The sequence below is a fragment of the Homo sapiens genome, chromosome 1 (assembly GCF_000001405.40).
Source record: "Homo sapiens chromosome 1, GRCh38.p14 Primary Assembly".
Classification (NCBI taxonomy): domain Eukaryota; kingdom Metazoa; phylum Chordata; class Mammalia; order Primates; family Hominidae; genus Homo; species Homo sapiens.
The window spans coordinates 116,677,618-116,692,395 of record NC_000001.11 but is presented as its reverse complement, the minus strand read 5'-3'; the positions used below and the strand labels follow the sequence as shown (position 1 = coordinate 116,692,395).

Here is a 14,778-nt window from a genome sequence, read left to right as displayed (position 1 = left end):
GAGGAAGACTTATCAACAGAGAATGACAATCTAGCATGGACACATTACAACAGAGGCATGCAGAGGTGCCACAGCAGCGGCGAAGAGCAGCAGGGACATGGCTTGAAAGAGGACAGGCAGGAGGGTAGCTAAGTTGGTTTCACAAGAGGTTGTGTCTGAGCTGAGTCTTGAATGAAAAGCAGGAGACGCCCAGGAGGACCAGCTAGCCAAGAGTCTCTCAGGCAGCAGGAACAACAATATCCCACATCGCAGAGTAGGCAAGACCACTTTTTACAATGGGCCAGGCACTGTGCTAAGTGATTACACAGACACTGCGCCCTCAGATCCTTAACAATATGCACACAAGGTAAATATGGTTATCCCATTTTATAATATGGAAACGGAGGCTTCAAAGGGTCAAGGAACTTGTCCAAGGTCACATAGCCAGAAAGTGGCAGAGCCAGGCTTTGAACCTAGATCATTCAGAGCCCACATTCTGTTTACCACCCTAGCACTCCTCCTACACTAGTGGACCCTGTTAGGGAGGTGCAGTCTGTAGAGCAACCCAGTGTCCTGCCCATAAAAGAAAGCACACCTCCGTAGGCAGGTGAGAGAAGAGACTGAGCACACAGGTAGGAAAAGGTGTACTCTGAGAGGGCTAGTGTTTAGGTGGGTGGGCAATGGAGAGAGCAGGCAGAAAAGAGAGAATGTGGGTGGTCTGAAAACACCCGTTTCTCTTCTGTTCTGTTTATTTTAACTTGAATGGCTTTACTCAGTGTCACCATCTTCTAACCTTTCTCCTTCAAATCACTCTTACAGTTAAATTAGCCTGAAAATTTACCAGCCCACAAATTTTTGTTAACCAGCCTGCCACAAATATTATACAGATAGCAGAATAAATAAAATTCATTGGTAGTTGCTACTAGCCTCCCTGAAATGGTAACTGGCCCCGGGCCCACAGGGACTCAGCTTTGAGAAGACTGCCTTAAATAATGAACAGGCAGATGAAACAAACAGTCAGTCTCTGGGCACTGCATGGCACTGCAAGTTGGCACCCCAGGTCCTGCAGACACCCTCGGTTTGCAGGCTGTCTTTTTCATGAAACAAAGGGGGTATCACAGACACCCATCATCACCATAAAATAATGGCACCAGCTAATTTCCTGAGGCTTCAAGCTCAGCAGGGAAGGATATAATATTGCAAGCCAGCAGAAGCCAAGCAAGTGGTGATACAGTAGTTCTGTTTTACATTACATTAAATGTTACTATTTCTGAAGGGAATATCTGCGGAGCACTGGTGTAACCCATAGCAACCAGCTAATAAATTGTAACTTACACTGGCTCAGCTTATTGTAGGGGTGGAGAACAGCAAGAAAAAAACGACTAAAAAAAAAGGCAAATGCTGGCAAAAATGCCACATTTTTTTCCCTCTTACTACCTCCTCTACACACACACACAAACATGCATACACACACACACACATACACACACACACACCACAAATACAGGCTGCATCAGCATTCTCTAGCAAAATTACTTAAGGTGAAGTGGGACAATTAGCAGTCAGGATTTTAGAATTCTTGACCTTCTTGTTGATCTATACATACAATGTCTCTTTTAAAGCTCAGAAGTTGTACTTTAAGTGTTGCCAGCACTGGGCCCTGCCCTCCACCAGCGTGACCCTTGGCATCATTTTGCAGCCTGTATTGAGGATGACAGTCCTCTGCATCCAGCCTGCACGTGGAACTAAGCCTAAGCCATTTAGTTCACTGTTTTTCCTTCTGTCTACAAATAGCTCATGCCTAATTGCCCCCCTACTTCAAATTCACAGCAGGGTGGTGAGCCTGGCTCTCTGCTACATTGAGCCTACTCTTTGACCTCAACCATGATAGATTCCTTCCATCCATTAATTCTTGTTCCCTGAGCCATTCAGTCTTTTACACATTCAATCAGTCTCTCTGAAGTGTGGGCATTGGATGTGTATTTACAGGGAATTATTCATGGGGCACTTTGTGGCCTTCAGACAGTATGTTCATCTATTTGGGTTGATTGCACATGCACACCTACTATCTGTCCATGTGAATAGTGCTAAACTTAATGAAAGTGCCCTGTATCCTGAAATGCACACCACTTAGCCACCAAGGGGGAAGTGACCAGCACTCAGAGCACCTGAGTAAGCGTTACTGGGCATCTTCCTTCTGTTTAGCCATCTCTGAACTGTGTACAGAAGAGGAGAGCCAGGGAGTCCATCAAGACTTAGACAACAGGGGCTCTTCCTGTCTCTTCCCCGAGGACACAAGTGAGGGACTTAGAATCAAGCACCCATGATCAAGAACCATCTCGGGCATTTGCTAGCTGAGTGTCATTTGGCAAAATCATTTTACTTCTGGGGACTTTGTTTCCTCATCTGCAATGTGAGAACATTGAGAGTATCAGTTAGGATGCACTTGGCTGCAGGAAACAGAAAACCCAACTCACAGTGCTTTAAAAAGGAGAGAAATAGAGTTTCTCATGTGACAGTGGATAGGGCAGGCTGGAGCCTCAGTTTCTATTTCTCTATGCTTCTCTTTTCAGCTGGTTCCTTTCATCCCCATGTTCTCTACCCCAGAGCTTGTCTTACCACTGCAGTGACACTGTTTGGGAAGAGATTGCCTGTTGGTCTCTCCACCTAGATCTGATCCCTTCATTCATTTATGAAAGCCCTGGCTTCTGGACCAGTGGCTGGCATGTGGTCTGGATGAAAGGATGGGTGAATGAACAAGTGAATGATTCTAAGCAGTCTTACTTCTTGGACAATGAAAAGGAAATTTGGGGAAAATCAAAAGCTGCAACATGTGCAAAAATGCTCTATAAACTGTAAAATGCTACTAGACATTAGGAAATGTTATGATTATTAACGATTACAATCATGAATCTTCATGCTATGAGAGCAGCCTCTTGGATGCTCCTGTCAGCCATAAGCACACCATACTGGCAGTGGGGTTTTTGATGAGACAATGGAAGAAAGATGGTTTTTCCAGGAAAAATAGATGACTTTTGCCCCTAAAAACAGTTTTAACATCCACAGTGTGACTATTAATTACAAAGGTCAAAAGGTATCTTTACAATGGAGAGATCTGATGGATATCTCCTTAACCAAATAACTGAGCATCATAAACATGAAGGGCCTCCTGATATGTGCAGCAGGAAGCACACAGTAACGCCTGCAGAGTGTTCTTGCCTCAAGCATTTAGCCTAAATATCATCACGAGGAAACCATCAGCAAAATCTAGATTGTGTGATGTTCAACAAGACAACCAGTGAGCTCTAATAATGCCAGTGTTGTTTGGGCGTGGTGGCTCATGCCTGTAATCCTAGCACTTTGGGAGGCTGAGGCAGGAGGATTGCTTGAGCTCAGGAGTTCAAGACCAGCCTGGGCAACATAATGAGACCCTGTCTCTAGAGAAAACAAAGAAATTAGCTGGGCATGGTGGTGTGGGCCTGCGGTCCCAGCTATTCGGGAAGCTGAGGTGGGAGAACTGCTTGAGTCCAGGAGGTCAAGGCTGCAGCGCACTCCAGCCTGAGCAACAGGGTCTCAAAATAAAAAAAAAAATTAAATTAAAGTACATGCCAGTATCCTTAACACAAAATAAATAGTAAATAGAGGCAGGAAGATTCTTTTAGGTTGAGGGAAACTAAGAAGATATAACAATCAATTTTCAATGAGTAAAGTTGAGTGGATCCTGGATTATTAAAATGCTATAAAACAGATATTTTGAGATAGCTGGACTATATATCAAAGAATGCTATTGCATTAATGCTAAATTATTTTAGCGTGATAATATTTTAGAAGTGTGTTATTTTTATTTATTTATTTATTTTGAGACAGAGTCTCAATCTGTCGCCCAGGCTGGAGTGCAGTGGCGTGATCTCAGCTCACTTCAACCTACGCCTCCCAGGCTCAAGTGATTCTCCTGCCTTAGCCTCCTGAGTAGCTGGGATTACAGGCACGCGCCACCACGCCCGGCTAATTTTTGTATTTTTAGTAGGGATGGGGTTTCACCATGTTGCCCAGGCTGTTCTCGAACTCTTGACCTCAAATGATCCACCCGCCACAGCCTCCCAAAGTGCTGGGATTACAGGCGCGAGCCACCAAGCCTGGCCTTGTTTTGCTTTTTGAGACAGAGTCTTGCTCTGTCTCCCAGGCTGGAGTGCAGTGGCGTGACCTTGGCTCACTGCAACCTCCACCTCCTGGGTTCAAGCGATTCTCCTGCCTCAGCCTCCTGAGTAGCTGGGATTACAGGCACCCATTACAACGATCAGCTAGTAATTTTTGTATTTTTTGTAGAGACGGGGTTCTACCATGTTGGCCAGGCTGGTCTTGAACTCCTGATCTCAAGTGATCCATCTGCCTCAGCCTCCCAAAGTCCTGGGATTACAGGTATGAGCCACCGTGCCCAGCCTGCATTTGTTTTTCGACTTCTACCTAGGCCAAACTGGGGAGCCTAGGATAACATATCAGAGTACACATATTTGTCAGGATTGCATCATTCTTTCAAAAACATTAACTGGTCCCCTGCTGTGTGTTCCTACTGTGTCTCCTCCCTCTCCCCCTTTCCTTCTCCCTCCCAGTCTTCTTTTCTCTCTTCACTGTCTTCCCACCAGTGATCTCAAAGGCCCCCGCATTTAAATGACTGTTGTCCCTGCCCTCCAGCCCTGCATATCCTAGATAAGACATCCTTTGAGCAGAAAGAAGGAGAAGAAATGCCGGTTATTTCTTCCCTATCATGTGAACATCACATACACACACACACACACACACACACACACACACACACACACACCTGAGGCTTGGACAAAAAAGGACAGATTAAAGTTAAGCCTTAGTGAATCAAGTCCACATTAGAGGCAGTATTTGGGACAGGGTCCCAAGGGGCTCTGAATTATGAAAGGCTGGTTCTGGCCCTGGCTGATAAAATGCAGAGCAGAACAAGCCTGGGATGCTAGGCCATCTGGCAGAGTTTCCAGACAGGGCAGGTCCCTGCTGCTTCCTGTCCCTGGGGCTGGATGTGGCCAGCAGGACCTGCCAGCCATTGGCAAGTGGCCCTTCACCCCCTGGAGTGTCTAGTCCTGACTGTGCTCATCTCCAGATGTGCACACCTCTGTGGTATTTGGCCATCTTGTGAATTCATTCCTCAAGCATTTATTCCTCTAATATGATCCTTGTTCCCCAAGCAGGGCCAGACTTCTCCACAGGCAGAATGGGGAGGGGATTATGGTGATAAGGAAGACTTTTTGGACCCCACCCTACTGCACGCTGCCTAAAGTTTAGAACGGGCATGTCTTAGGCACACAACACTTTTAGGGGTCCAGAAAAAGGTTTTACTTGTTTTAATGTCAGAAGAAAAATAATAAACTTTTGGAGGTCAAAGATTATAGTCTTCCTTATACCAATGTAGTCATAAACTAGAATCTTTAGTATTTTTTATGGAGAAAGTCCTGCTCACTCCTGGTACTCCCCAGGACACAGTGCCTAGGGCCGAGGAAGATCATGTGACCCTGGGGACAGGTTGTTGGTTCTGCTTCCCCAAACCCAGAGTGGCTAGAACCTCAGCCCCAGGGAAAAAATGAAGACCAGATGCCTAAGGACCTCTGCCCATGTCCCTTTACTCTGCTCGTGGCAACTTCTCCAGCTTCTCTCCCTGAAACAAGACAAATAAAGACAATGTAATGAGTTCTTCACAAAACTAAATTCATACCAATTGAAGGACACTTCATTTTTGCCTGATATTATGTCCATTTTATTTATTTTTTTCTTTTTGGTTTGAAAATGTCCTTTCTTCTATAAAATTATAATGATGGTGGATGATATTCTCAATAAACATTATTTCACAAATGTAACAGTTGATAACCTTCTCTTAGTCCTGGCAACCCCGACCGCCAATTCCACAGACAATTTGCTGCTCTACGAAACCCCACACTCTGAGAAGCACTGGCTTAGATACTTTGAGTCTATCTTCCAGGCTTACCGCTAACAGTTGTGGAAACCTAGCATGTTGGGAGGCCGACCCAGGAGGATTGCTTGAGCCCGGGAGTTTTGAGGTTACAGTGAGCTATGATCGCACTACTGCACTCTAGCCTGAGTAACAGAGTGAGACACTGCCTCTCAGAAAAAAAACTTACCTCTTATGACATCCTCTCTGAAGCCCTCTCTAACCCCAGAGCTCTGGAGGGCCCTGCATCACTTCCACCTTAATACTCACTTTCTGTTTGCTCGTTAGCATTTCTTGGCTGTCTCCCCTCCTAGACATCTCTGGAAGACAGGACTGTACCTTACTTCTTCGTGTCGCCTCTCCTTAGCATGGTGCCTGCCACACAGTAGCTGCTCAATCAATCTTTGTTGAATGAATAAATATACTAATTCCCAGAAAAATTAAGTTAATGGATAGAGTATCTTCAGCTTTTAGTTTTCTCTCTCTAAATTTTTATTAAATCTTTGGCACCTGTTATTCCTTGTCCACTGGCCAGTGCTAGCAGATGACAGAATTAGCAAGTAACAAATGAATATTAATGGACACAGACATAGCCAACAGTGCTTAGTTTGACAGTTTTTTTCTATGGACAGGTGTTTGGGCTTACGGTTGTGGTTTTATATTATGTGTTAGTGTCTGTAAGTTTAATTAAATTTAACTTTTCTTTCCCCCCGAGACAGAGTCTTGCTCTGTTGCCCAGGCTGGAGTGCAGTGGCACAGTCTCGGCTCACTGCAACCTCTGCCTCCTGGGTTCAAGCAATTCTCCTGCCTCAGCCTCCCAACTGGCTGGGATTATAGGCATGTGCCACCAAGCCTGGCTAATTTTTGTATTCTTAGTAGTGACAGGGTTTCACCATGTTGGCCAGGCTGGTCTCAAACTCTTGACCTCATGATCTGCCAGCCTCGGCCTCCCAGAGTGCTGGGATTACAGGCGTGAGCCACCATGCCTGGCCCAAATTTAACATTTTTAAGCAATTTAAGCACAAAGTAGCTAAATATGTAATTTTGTGCTAATTCATAGGCAGTATTTTGGATTTAAATACATCAGTATTTCACGATGTTCTGCAAAGGGTACCATCACTGATTGGAGGAGTCCCACTGTATGAAAATGTTGAAGGTCTGAGTGTGGTGGTTCAGGCCTGTAATCTCAGCACTTAGGGAGGCCCAGGTGGGAGGATTGCTGGAGCACAGGAGTTCGAGACCAGCCTGGGCAATATAGCAAGACCTTGTCTCAACCAAAAAAATAAATTAAAAGAAAATTAGCCAAGTATGGTGGAATGCATCTGTAATCCCAGATACTCCTGAGGCTGAGGTGGGAGGATCGCCTGAGCTGAGATTGAGGCTGCAGTGAGTTATGATTTGCACCACTGCACTCCAGCATGGGCAGCAGAGCAAGACCATGTCTCCAAAAAAAAAAAAAAAAAAAGTGTTGGAGACCAGAGAAATAGAACTACTGTCCTCGTGCAAATTTGGACTCTGGGGGAAGATTTAAATTGGAATGAGGGCTCTCTGAAGTTCCAGGGAGCCTAAATGAAGTGGGTGGGACACAGAGAAAAGGGCTGAAGAGGCTTGCCTGAGGCCAAGGCAGATTCTCTGTCTTGATGCTGCCTCTCATTCCTTGGGTCTAAGAATGTAATTCTCTCGTGTTTATTCTTGCTGAGGCTTCAGATGTGTTCATATTAAACATCTGCATATACTGAGGGTGTGGTAAATGACTAAAATGATTAGTTATTGTTGGATAAAAAAGAAATGCCTTCAGTCCCCCTGCTAAAGATGACTTTTCCCAGACTCAGCTCTGGCCATGTTACTTTCCTATTAAAATAAATAAATAAATAAATCTCTAGGGGCTGCCATTTCCAACCTAAGCAAACCTACATTTCTTGGCCTACCATTTAAGGCCTCTCAAATCCTGACCCAATGTAACTTTCCAACATTATTTTCATTACCCCCCTCCGCACTCTGTAAGTCAGCCAAACCAATCTTACCACGAAGTTTTCCAGACCAGTCCACTTTCTTGCCTGTATGTTTATTATTATTGTTCCTTATTTATTTATTTTCTTTCTTTTTTTTTTTTTTTTCTGGAGACAGAGTCTCACTTTGTCACCTAGGCTGGAGTGCCGTGGCATGATCTCAGCTCACTGCAACCTCCACCTCCCGGATTCAAGTGATTCTCGTGCCTCAGCCTCCTTAGTAGCTGAGATTACAGGCGTGCACCACCACATCTGGCTAATTTTTGTATTTTTAGTAGAGACGGGGTTTCACCATGTTGTCCAGGCTGGTCTCGAACTCCAGGCCTCAAGTGATTCACCTGTCTCAGCCTCCCAAAATGCTGGGATTACAGGCATGAGCCACCTTGCCAGGCCTACTGTTCCCTATTTTCTAGTCCTTACTTCCTTGATCGACACTACCCCAGTTTCTCCAAATGGATGTTATCACTATCTTCTTTGACTTCCTATATCTCTTTCAAGGCACTAAACATATTCTGCTTTCTAAAATAGTAATTTTGATATTTTTATTATCCCCAGTTTACAATGCACACACATATATATTTGTCATAAGATATTCATGGTGAGGAAGTTTTATTCTTCTGTGTCTAATACTGTGCCTGGTACATTGTTCCCATTGTGTCTATATTGCACTGAATTGAATTTGTGTTCTCAATGGTCCCAAGCTGAATTCTGCATCCATTTTGCTGATGATCTATGCATCACATTTATTCCCACTGTAAATCACAGATGAACCAACAAAAAAAGGCATAGTCAATAAGGAAAATATATAACAATATTTCTTTTTTTTTTTTTTTTTTTTTTTTTGAGATAGAGTCTTGCTCTGTCGCCCAGGCCAGAGTGCAGTGGCGCAATCTCGGCTCACTGCAAGCTCCGCCTCCAGGGTTCACGCCATTCTCCTGCCTCAGCCTCTCCGAGTAGCTGGGACTACAGGCGTCCGCCACCACTCCTGGCTAATTTTTTGTATTTTTAGTAGAGACGGGGTTTCACCATGGTCTGGATCTCCTGACCTCGTGATCCGCCTGCCTCGGCCTTCCAAAGTGCTGGGATTACAACCGTGAGCCACCGCGACCGGCCTACAATATTTCACGTATTAAGAAGTCTGCAGGCAGGCAGGCTCCAGGATTGAATTCAGTGGTTCAGGGACTCATTACAGAACTGCCTTCTTCAGCCTGTGGGCCACGCTTAGTCCTGGTAAAACATGGCTGCTGCAGATCCAGTTTCAACACATAGAGCAAAGAAAAGAAACAGAAGAAACATTCCTTCCATGATTCTGTTGTTATCAGAAAGGAAAATCTTTTCTAAGAGACAACCGGCAGATGTCCTGTCACATATTATTGGTCAGAATTGTAACACAGGTTTGTACCTAAAAGAATTGCTGGCCAAGAAAATAAAACTATCTTGATTGGCTCACACTAACCAAGATTAACAGCCTTGGTCAGGGAAAAGACTCAGATTCCCCTAAGCACATGACCACCACATGAACAAAAGAGAAAGTAAGAAATGGCTTTGTTTAGGCATAATAGTGCCAGCCAAGATCTCATGACATTACAGGCTATATCAAGCCTGGGCCCATCAGAACAGGAGTCTTGAGCTCTTGGATGTAATGAGTAAGTTGGGAGCCCTTGCCTCCTACAGGAAGATAATAACAATGGATACTGTTCATTTCTAGACGAGAATTTCTTATCTTCTTTCTCCTCAACGTTCCAACAACCCTCCCCCATCCTCAAGCTCAGCCAATGACCTTGCTGAGAAAACATAAGCAAAAAAATTTTATATTCTTCTATCTACATGTGCCCACCAACTTATGTCAGTGCCCACATATTCTGCCTTTCCTCTCACATTATATAAGATTCATCCTTGCTCCCAGCTAAAGCCAATGCCTTCAACAGGTCCCATTCCCACTCATCTATTCAAGGATATCATCCAGCAAATCTTTGTTCTGTATTCTTCATCACTTGATTTTCCTCTCTCTACTAGATCTTTCATATCTATAAATAATATGCTCTCAATCTTAAAACCTGTCTCTTAACCACAGATGCTTTTACCACTGTGGACCCATTTCCCCATTTTTCTTTATATGAGAATTCCTTAAAAGGGTTATCTATAGCCCTGGCTTTAATTCTTCTCCTCTCATTCTTTAACTCCTCCTAAGCGGGCTTCCACACTTCGGACTCTAGTAAAATTGTTTCTCTCAATGTAACCAAAGACATGCCTCGACTAAATCCAATGATTAATTCTCAGTCCTCATCTTAGTTGATTAGGTAGCAGTATCCAACACAATTGCTTACTCGTTCCTCCCAGAAACACATTCTGTACTTCGTTTCCAGGACACCAAACATGCCTGGTTTTCCTTCTGTTGCACTGGCTCGTCCTTTTTCACTTTTAGGGATTCCTCTTCCTTTCTAAATGTTATGCTTCCCCAGGGCTCAGTCCTTAAACTTCTCTACCTTTACTCACTTCCTTGCTGTTTTTATCAGTCTCATGACTTTATCATCTATATGCTCATAATTCCTGAACTGTCTTTTCAGCCTGGACATCTTCCCTAGATTCTAGACTCAGGCATCCAACAGCCTACTTGACATCCTAATCTGAATGTGCACAAGGCATCTCAAATTTAACATGATTGTACCAGTTACATATTGCTACATAATTAAACTCTGAAGTTTAGTGGCAATTTAGTCTGAGCTCAGCTAGGTGGCTCTTCTGTTCTTGCCTTGGGTCATTCACGTCACTGAAGTCTTTTGGAGCTTTACTGGATGGTTTAAGATGTCCTTGCTTATGTGTCTAGATATTAGTTGAGGCTATTGACCAGGGCATTTTGGCTGTCCTCCATATGGTTCTTCAGTAGGATTCCTTTTAAGGCCAAGGCAGCATTCTAAGAGGGCAAGCCCCAGTATATAAGGCCCAGTACATGACTCACTGGGGGCTATTAAGGTAATAATCTCTCACAATGTCCAAAACATAATTCATAACATCTACCACCCACTCCATCTCATCCCCACCCCCAAATTTGCTCCACTTACAGTTTTCCTCATCTTAGCAAATAGCCACTCCATCCTTTCCATTGCTCAGGCCAAAAACCTCAGAGACATTTTTGAACTCCTCTCTAATTTTCACACTTCCTGTTAAATCCATCACCAAACTCTGACAGCTCTTCCTTAAAAATTATATCCTGAATCCAACCCCTTATCACTACCTCCTTCTCCACTACCTAGTCCAAGCCACCACCATCTTTCACCTGGCTTATTGCACTGACCTTTAACTGGTTTCCCTACTGACACTCTTGATCCCCATAGCCTATTTGCAGCACAGCAGCCAGAGCAATCCTCTGAAAACATGAATCAGATTCTATCATTCCTCTCCTTAAAACTCCCCAGAGTTTTCAATGGCTAACAAGTTCCTACATGATTGCACTCCGTGCTGCACTTCCCCTCCTGTGCGCACGCACCATTGCCTTTCCTGCCCCACTTCCTACTGCTCTCCCTCCCTCACTGAGCTCCAGCCCACCAACCTCCTAGATATTTCTCAATCTTGCTGGGTGTACTCCTGGCTCAGGGCCTTGCAACTTGCAGTTCCCTCTGCCCAGAATGCTCTTCCCTTCAACATTTGCGTGCTTGGCTCCTTCACCTCCTTTAGGTCTTTAATCAAAAAATCACATTTGCAGGGAGTCTGTGCTGCTCTGTTTAAAACTGCAACCCCTCTTCTCCTAGCACTCCTTTATCCCCTTTCTGGCTTTATTTTCCTCCTTTCACTTTTCATCATCTGATGTGCTATATATTTATTTACTTGTTTATTGTCTGTCTCCCCCTACTAGAATGTTAACTCCATGAGGGCAAGATTTTCTTCTTGTCTCTTTTGTTCACTCAGCACCTGGAATACAGCCTGGCATGTAGTAGGTGTATAATTCACTGAGCATTTACTATGTGCTATATATTTCACCTAGTGTATTATTCCTGTATTCCTCACACTAACCCCAATATCTACAATATGGGGAAAAAGCACTACTATATCTCCTTATATAAAGCAGGTGCTATTATCTTCATTTTGCCAATGAGGAAACCAAGGCTGGCTATGTCACCCAGGCTGGAGTGCAGTGGCATGATCATAGCTCACTGAAGCCTTGACTTCCTGGGCTCAAGCCATCCGACTAGCTAGGATGATAGGCACATGCCACTAACTTTAAATTTTTGGGAAGGATGAGTTCTCACTATGTTGCTGAGACTGGTCTTGAACTCTTGAGCTCAAGGGATTCTCTTGCCTCGGCCTCCCAAAGTGCTAGAATTACAGTCATGAGGCACCACACCCTGCCTGAGCTCTAAACTAGTAAGCTGAACTATCATTTGTCTTTTTTACATTATCTTTTGCCCCAGAGGAAGGGCTGGCAGCTCTGTGGCCTTCTGATCAGCATCTTTGTGTGGTGCGACTTCTGACCGCCTTTCTGTGGTTCCATTGCTGACTTGAGTCAACAGTTATGAAAGAAAAGGAGGAGAAGGAGGAGGAAAAAGAAGGGGAAGAGATAGAGAAGAAAGAACTGGAAGAGAAAGATGGAAGAGGTGGTGGGGTGATGGGGTCAGGAACCATCAGCTGCCTCTCGTTCTATGGTACAGTACTGGACTGCACGGCCAGTACCCAGGGAAGGGGGACTCTGTGTGCCCCCCTCCTTGTCCCCAGCTCACAGTGCTCCTTTCAAATCCCACTATTATGTCTGTCCTTTTATTCTCTCATGCTAAAGACTGGATTCCCAGGCAGAAAACAAGCTTTTTAATAAGCAGCAGTTGCTGAACTTTTGGAAGAAATATAACTCCATCCCAGCTCCACTCCTAGGTGGCTTTGTTCCTTCCCTTCCCCCACAGCTGTCCTCAGGCAAGATTAGGCCCCACTCAGATCTGGAGTGGGGCTCAGAAAGGGCTGCAAACCCCCATCCCTACACAGGCTGAAATGGCTCTGCGGTGGGTGAGGATGAAAGGGAACCACTGACTGTCTGACATCTGGTGGCCAGAAGCAGGCTGGGGGAACCACTGCTGAATCTCACAAGTCGGCCATTGTTGCAATGGAGGCTACTTTGGTTCTGTGGCTGAAGCATACGCACACACATGTTTAAAGAAAAAAAAATGTTTTTAAACAGTCTAGGACCAAGACAGATGGCTGTGGCTGATAGTTTCTGGAGAAAAATAGCAACTCCTGTGTTTGGGTTATCATATGATAGGTCACAAAGAAAAGGGGCTTTGTTCTATGATTGGTTTCTCTAGTCAATTAAATGTTTAATATCGGCCACGAGGTTCCTGCTGTTTAAGTAGAGATACTTCAGATAAATTTCACAGACGTGTGTGGATGCTTAAAGTTCTCTCTTTGTTCTTTCTCTCTTTACTTCTGTTCCTTCCTTCTTTCTACTCCCTTTATTTTCCTCTCTCTTCCCCTTATTCTCCTTTATTTTTTCTTTCTCTTTTCTCTCTCTCTCCTTTGTTCTCTCTTCTCTCCTTTCTCTCTTCCTTCTTTCTTTTTTCCTTTCTTTCCCTTCTGGTCCTCCCTTTATTCCTTCCTTTCCCCAATTTTTCTTCTCTGGTTCATCCTCTCTCTTCCTAGCTGTCTCATTTTTATGTTCCTCTGTATTCCTTCTTCTATAAATAGCATATTATAAGTGAGGGGAAAAGGGGGAAGATGCGGGGGTCATGGACTATAGTAGAAATTACACATGACTATGAAAGATAAGTGTTAACATTCATGTGTGATAATTTGTGCTGTGAACTTAAGGTACATCTGTGGGACCCTAAATACTGTCAGCATCACCCAAGCTAGGAGGAAATGCTGCTTCAGGGTAAGTCCTAAGGGCTGGGCATGGGATTTGTGTATGGCACAAAAGAGGGTAATCAGTAACTAAGGCTCTTGGGTACAAGTAGCTACAAAAATTTTGAACTCTTACTTTTTGTGTGAACCATCCATCTAAAGCAGCTAGAGAGCGAGGCAGATGCCATGGCTAGAGTCACCCAAATGAAAGCTCATGAAATGTCCCCAACACTGGTTGCTATAGCTTTCCTCTAGGGGCTGGAGATCTGCTCTGTGAGATTGAGTGTATAGTCTGGTGTATTTGTTCATTTGACGACTCCTTCATCCATTCCATAAAGCTTTAGTTGAGGCTAGGTGCAATGGCTCATGCTTATAATCCCAACTCTTTGGGAGGCCAAGGTGAGAGGATTGCTTGAGCCCAGGAGTTCAAGACCAGCCCTAGCAACATAGTGAGACACTATCTCTACAAAAAAATTTAAAAATTAACTGGGTTTTGTGGTGCATGCCTGTAGTTGCAGCTACTTGGGAGTCTGAGGTAGGAGGATCACTTGAGCCCAGGAGGTTGAGGCTGCAGTGAGATCACACCCCATGTCCAATCCAATCCACTGCACTCCACTCCTGGGTAACAGAGCAAGACCCTGTCTCCAAAAAAAAAAAAAAAAAAAGCTTTAGTTGAGTGCCTGCTATGTGCCAGGCATAGTGTAGGGAGCAGAAGACATAGTCATATCAGGCAGCCTCTGACCTCAAGAAACTCAGTAGGTAAAACATACATTAAAAAAAAACCTAAGTAAAAAATAACCTAAGTGGAAAAGTGCTACCCTGGAGGGAGGTCTATACTAAACACAGAGCTTTCATAGATGATTAACTCAATTCTGGAAGGACAGGAGGAGGGATACTTCTTAGAGAAACTTATGCTTCAGTTGTTCCTACAAGAAGGGTGGGAGTTTGCCAAGTTGACGGGCAGCAGAAGGAGGAAGGGCATACTGGCAAACTACC

The 14,778-nt window shown here is 44.3% G+C and overlaps 3 annotated features.

The window, feature by feature from the left end:
- Positions 3,618-4,570: an enhancer, noted in NCBI's record as "H3K27ac-H3K4me1 hESC enhancer chr1:117230448-117231400 (GRCh37/hg19 assembly coordinates)". NCBI's record gives its function as "activates a minimal SCP1, AML or CMV promoter by ChIP-STARR-seq in primed H9 embryonic stem cells {active_cell/tissue: H9 hESC(primed)}" and the evidence as "EXISTENCE:reporter gene assay evidence [ECO:0000049][PMID:30033119]".
- Positions 3,618-5,234: a biological region, named in NCBI's record as "CRISPRi-validated cis-regulatory element chr1.8052". NCBI's record gives its function as "regulatory_interactions: IGSF3 | TTF2".
- Positions 4,363-5,234: a transcriptional cis regulatory region, noted in NCBI's record as "candidate enhancer chr1.8052 targeted for multiplex CRISPR interference". NCBI's record gives its function as "positively regulates expression of the IGSF3 gene with high confidence and the TTF2 gene with lower confidence in K562 cells {active_cell/tissue: K562}" and the evidence as "EXISTENCE:mutant phenotype evidence [ECO:0000015][PMID:30612741]".